Source organism: Homo sapiens, chromosome 13 (genome assembly GCF_000001405.40).
Source record: "Homo sapiens chromosome 13, GRCh38.p14 Primary Assembly".
Taxonomy (NCBI): Eukaryota; Metazoa; Chordata; class Mammalia; order Primates; family Hominidae; genus Homo; species Homo sapiens.
In genome coordinates, this window is record NC_000013.11 from 110985510 (window position 1) to 110991835 (window position 6326).

General features: G+C 39.3%; 1 long non-coding RNA gene across 1 annotated transcript in view; it reads left to right on the forward strand.

Moving 5' to 3' along the window:
• The window catches only part of LINC00431 (long intergenic non-protein coding RNA 431), a 24576-nt gene extending 19483 nt beyond the window's left edge, over positions 1-5093 (forward strand). Inside the window, exon 2 of the long non-coding RNA NR_126378.1 lies at positions 4471-5093. This is a non-coding gene — a long non-coding RNA (long intergenic non-protein coding RNA 431). The remainder of the gene's footprint in view (positions 1-4470) is intronic.
• The last annotated feature ends 1233 nt before the right edge of the window (positions 5094-6326 follow it).

Here is a 6326-nt window from a genome sequence, read left to right on the forward strand (position 1 = left end):
TGAAAGTCCTAGCCCTCTAATTGTGCCTTTGTCTTTCTGGTGGCCAACCATATCCTGAAGCTATCAGTAAACATCAGCAAACAAAAAGACAGCACTTCGAAGTTTCCAAGGATTTTAGGAGTTGTATGCCAGGAAAACTGGCGAAGACCAAATATATGTATTTCATAATATCATAGCTTCCTTCTCTGAATTTCTGTAAGACTTTAGCTTCACATGTGAAAATAAGTAATTCAAAATCTAAGCTACTGAAACTTTGAAATATTTCAAGCCTTAAGGAAATGTGATTATGGGATCTGAGTCATGCAAACAGGCAGCTGTAATGTAGGCAGCTGTAATCTTTATTTCTCTGATTATAGATTAGCCTTCTTCCTTACCTACAGTGTTTTGTAAAATGCTGCAAATGACTAAAGAGTGACAAGAAAGACCCCTTCCCTCTTCACTACTGATCTTTGTTATAGATTAACATCCTTCTTACCTTTCTCACACAAAGACTTTGGCTATCACCTTGCCTAAAATAAAATGTTAAATATACACTTTTAAATTGGAAACAAAAACTAGCTGTAAAGAAAAGAAAACGTGTCACATGGAGAAAAAAGCAAACTGCACTAATTAAATTTTTGCAACTAATAAACCAGACTTGCATAGAAAATGTTATAATCCTACTAAACTTCTTTGTTTTCTGCCTAATGAGAAATAAAAAATAAAATCCTAAGCCCCCCATGTGACTAAACAGACTCCCTCTTAGCCAAGAGGACCCTGAAGAAACCTTAAAAAAAACAGCTCTCAGCCATGACAGTATAGGATGTCAGATGGGCCTCATGATAGACCCTCCTTTGCTAAATGCCATTAGACTTTCTTTTCCTAAGCTTTAAACAAAAACCAGCCCTCCTGAAAGACTTACTTGACTGCTGATTTCAACCAATCACCTGACACTACCCCGGTTTGGTGGACAGCAACTGATCAACATTCCTTCCTGGTAAGAGACCACCAACCATGGAGTGGTTTGGATCAGTTTAAAGAGACTGCACAATGAGGGCCTTCAGGTCATCTGCTTTACCTTTTGATGTATAGGATCTAATTATAATACATTTAAATGATAAGTCTCCACCCCAAAGTAAACGTGGGATACATGTTACTTATGTGTTACTCTACTACACATGCCTATGCCTCCCCTTTGTAAAATATTCAGAGCTCCTCTTATAACCTGTAGAATATATATACCTAGCCAATCTGTTCAACATAAGTTCCTGTCTTATCCTTCCCTCCCTTGAAGTGCCTGCTTTCAGCTTCTGAAAGAGGCTATGCTTCCCAGCCTACAGGCAGCAACCCTTTATGAGAAATAAAGCTCTCCTTTCCAAATTTATGAACCTCATGATTCTTCAGATGACACTATATATAAAAGCAAAACAACTTTTAAGTTCAAAGTGCTGACCCTACTTCTCTAGTGTCTTTGTCTTCCAGATGGTCATTCCCAGCTTTTCACCAGAATAAGCTTTTTAAACTGGATTCTGATCATTTCTATTATTTCAGGCTGACACACATAATTCATCACCTCCTTCATCTTACTACAGTCATTCATTCATTTACCATGTCTTCCTGTGAGCTCCCTGAGAGCAGGTTCTGTGGTAGGTAAATTTGTGTTCCCTCTGGCACTCAACTCAGGAACTTGACATTGAAAGGTGCTTAAACATATTATTGAAGAAATGCATTCATCTATTCAAGTCCTGTTTCCTAAGAACATTTCAGTAAAGTCTATTCTGTAAAAATGTTCATCTATGGACATGTATAGATATTTGTTTGATTATAGCTAGGAGCCAGTATTAGCATTGAAGATTTGTTCTTATAGTGCATGTTCTCATAAAACCAAGTCTGGACACGATCAGTTTCTGTCCTTGGCACAATTGGAGAAAGATCTTTGCTGCCACAATTTCCTAAATGCCTGTCTTGTTGTCCAAGCATGAAAGGGTTTCCTTTGCCACATCCTCACTTTGCACTTCTCAGAGTCAGGTTCTCTGTGTCCCTGGTGCTTAAATCATTTTAGGCTAAAGGAAAATGATAATGAAGACACATATTCTCCCTCTCATTCACTGCCTCTCTCTTCTGGTGGTTTCTATCTTAATGGATTGATATAGTTTGGCTCTGTGTCCCCACTCAAATCTCATGTTGAATTATAATTCCCAATGCTGGGGGAAGGACATAGTGGGGGGTGATTGGATCATGGGGGTGAAATTCCCCCCTGCTGTTCTCATGATAGTGAGTGAGTTCACACCAGATCTGATGGTTAAAAGTGTGTGGCACATCCCCATTTGCTGTCTATCTCTCTCTCCTGCCACCATGTAAAGAGGTGCATTAGATTAAATGAAATGAAATAATATTTACTAACTACGTCCTCTTCACCTTTTGCCATGATTGTAAGATTCCTGCGGCCTCCCAGTCATGCTTCCTGTTAAGCCTGTGGAACTGTAGGTCAATTAAACCTCTTTTCTTCATGAATTATCCAGTCTCAGTAGTTCTCTATAGCTGTGTGAGAACAGACTAATACATGGATCTTAATCCTAGAGATGGACTCTTAAGCATTGTCTTTTTTGGGACAGCACTGGAATAAAAATTTTCAGATTTACATGAGCCAAGAGAAGAGAGCAACGCTCTGAATTATCCTTGGGGAAACGGGGGAAGACAAAGTCTGCGGCACCCTGCAACTCACCCCGTAAGCTGTCGGCCTGCTGTAAAGACATGTAGGGTGTTAATTCCTTATATGACAAAACAAATTTTGATAAATTTGATTAGAATTTTATATCTTGTGCTGTTTTCTAGGATGCACATGGGGAAGACGGACATTTTTGTAATTTTAGTAAAGTTCTGTAGGATGATGCACTGTGTAGCTAAAGGTGGTTGTTGTTGTGATCTCATGTTATGGTTCTAGATTTCCAGGTAGTAATTTAAGTGTAGAGTAACATAATGGTGCCAGCCATTCATTTTATGTTAAGTGTGCTTTTCCCACTCTCATACCACAAAGGCAATGTTAAATAATTACAGAGAATTGATTATGAGGCCAAGAAAATGAAAGGCTACTTTTGAATGATGCTTTAATACAACTTAAAAGTTAAATGTGAAGGAAACAGATAGACTTCTAGATTCATTCAGAGCCCAAGGCCCTGTTACTTCTAAAATCACAGAGTTAATAATCTCAACTTGGGGAGACTGATTTGCTGTTAAAGATCATGCAAAGAGTGAGGCTAGTGAATATTAGTGATTCTAGAAAAGTGATTCTCAAATATTTTATTACGTTGCGGCTAACAAAATTGTTAAGGAGAGACCTGAGTAGAGAGACTCCTGAGTGTAACACTTAGTACCCTGAAAGTGTAAGATTTGGACTCCATTTTATGAACATTTTAATCCACGTGATCATTGTTTTGATTGAAATGTCTATATAATTGAGCCTGGTCTTAACATTTCCTTAAATATTCACCATTAGAAGTAATCTTCTGTGAAAAAAAAAAAAAAGGATCTCTTAGTTGGCTGATCTTGGCTTGCTCATTTTAATACTAGGAAAATGATGTTAATTTTTTTAAGAAAGACTTAATGGTGCCATGATTAAGGGTGATGGTTACTGGTGCTTAAAAAAAACTTCCCTCCCCAATTTTATGATATTTGTGCATTTTAGAAATTTTTGGATATCTTTTAAGGAAAGCACTGAGCATGTCACAGATAACCTCTGTTGATATTTTTACGTAAACCTTTCTTTTTACTGTGCTTACGACATTTTTAATAAAATAAGATCACATTGTGCAAAGTAAATATGGAGTCCTTTGTAATCTGTATTATTTTAAAACTGAAGTATTAAAGATTATTCCATTCCACTTAATATTATTTTTCTGCATCAGGCATTTGAACATGTGGTCTGTGACCCCACATAAGGAGGTGATGGCAGTGATGCCACCGCCCATCAGGAAGGCAGCTGCAGCCTCACACCCAACAGCATTGAACCTTAAGGTCATGGCTGGGAATGTAGACCCGTCCAATGTTCTCAATTTGTTTTCCAGTGAGGGCTCTAGGACGAAATCCTCTTTCATGAGTCATGTGAAAGATGAAACGTGTGGCACTGAGTTTTGCATTCAAAATAAAAAGAATAGACTATTCTAACATCTGTTACGTTGCTGTTTTGCTTATTCTTGTGGAACTTAAGAACAAAGTGAAAACACCTATTGGTTAGTTGCTTTCAAATAAAATGTATTCATCGCTAATTTGTCCTTGTGAAAGGGTGCCCATTCCTAATGCAGGTGCACTGGCCGTGTGCACTCCATGGTCCCAGCAGCTCTCGCTCCCTGGACTCCCGCCGTAGTGAGCGTTTACTAAGGACCTGTTGATCTGGAAAGACAAACCCAACCCAAAGGAGATTAAGGTACAGGGAATAAGTTTGTGGATCGTTCTTTTCTGAAACAATATTTTACTCCTTTTGCTTCTTTTTAGGGTATCGTGCAGCAGTTTTTGGTGTTACTGACGACCAGCTCTGACGAGAGTCTTCGGTTTCTTAGCTTCAGGCTGGACTTCAACGAGCATTACAAAGCCAGGGAGCCCAGGCTCCGCGTGTCTCTGGGTACCAGGGGGCGGCGCAGCTCCCACACGTGAAGCTCGCGGTCCTCCCAGGGAGCTGCGGGTGATGTTCGTTGCACTGCTAGACACGAAATTCCCATTGACGTCCTGCAGGAACTGCATGCTGCAGGTGTCCTGCCCTTCCGCCCACGAGTGCGCCATGTTTCAGCGGAGCGGCGTGTGGGAGAAGCCACGTCGTGTTGCACACGTCGGAGTTGAATGCATTTGTAAATCACTAAGTCAAGTAGGCTGGCTGCACTGTTCACATTTGTCTCTAAAAGTCTTCATCCCCAAAAGATACCATAATTTGCTGAGGCTTCTGAATCTTAAGTGCTCTAAGTTATAACTTATATTTGTCACTTTAAAAGAACTGTTTGTTTAGCAAAATCTACAGCAAGGGTATATTTATAAAGTGATAATGTCATTGCTGTTATTTAGCATCCTCTTCAGAAACTTTTTTTTGCAATATTATTAGATTAAACTGAAATACATAGAAAATATAGAGAGCATTTTATTATCTTGGTATTCAAGGTTGTAAAGTGTGAAAATTTTTGTATCTTACATATATCTATTCTTTTCTCTCTCCTTTCAAGGTTTACACTTACAGATTTAATTTACTATTCTAGATAACTTCTAAAATAGTACAGAACACGAGTAGGAGTGTTGTGGAACAAAAACATCCTTAAACTTAAATTTCTTGACGCCACCAGCTGAAGCAGTGTGGCAACAGGAATGACTAGAAAGTTAACAAAGTATTTTATTTTTACAATTTTGATGAGCATTATAAAGAAATCGATTTGGATAATGAAGGTTTCTTTTTTCTTTGACTAATTTTTCCTTGTAAATATTTATATACTATTGACCAGATGCTGGGGAGAACGGTGTCTGTAAAAAGTCACGTCATATCAGCTTGCCTTTATTATGCTGTATAAGTGAAAACTTAGAAAACTGAAAGCAATTATCTTTCAAAGCATTGGCTGTTTTTTGAATAGTCTATTAAGTGACAGTTCATTTGCCAGGGGGGCGGGGATTGACAGGATTTGATTTAATGTAGTACAGCATATGAATTATTTAATCATAATTAGAAACCAAGAAATTAGATTTTGTGTGACTTTCGGTGTAGAAGCAAACGCAATGTCACCACTCAGGTCTCAGGAGCGGTGCTTTAGTTATCTGAATCTGCCTCTGACTCCTTTAGGTGTGGATTCCCTTTAAAACTAAAGGGGCCATCAAGAATCCTGGCCATGCAGAAATGATTCCATGGCAAAGGCCAGAAATTCTTAGGATAAAAACTTAATTTAATTTTAGTTTTCAAGTTCATAAAATCAGAAATTTGAAACAGATTTCTCCACTGCAAGTTGTCCTAGAAATTATGGCGTATTGTGTATCTCCGAGAGAGGTTTACCAAGGTTATTAACCATGCAGCCAGCTTTTATTTTATTTTATTCAGAGAGTTGTTCCAGGGATTAATCCTCGGTAGAAACCACCCTAGCAAAGGCCCACCTCGATTTTAGGGATTACGACTCCATTGGAGTGTAGGAGTCACCAGGACTTAGGTCAGATCTGTGGGCTATGGAGGGCTTCCGGGAGGTGCGGCCCTGGGGGGTGCCTGCGGGTCTGGAGGGTGGGAGCTGGGATGGGGTGAGGCCTCTGAGGAGCTGCGTGAGACCCACTCTCCGTCATTGTGGGTGCACAATCAGGCCCCTTAGGGAGCCAGGGCCCCAAAACCCAGC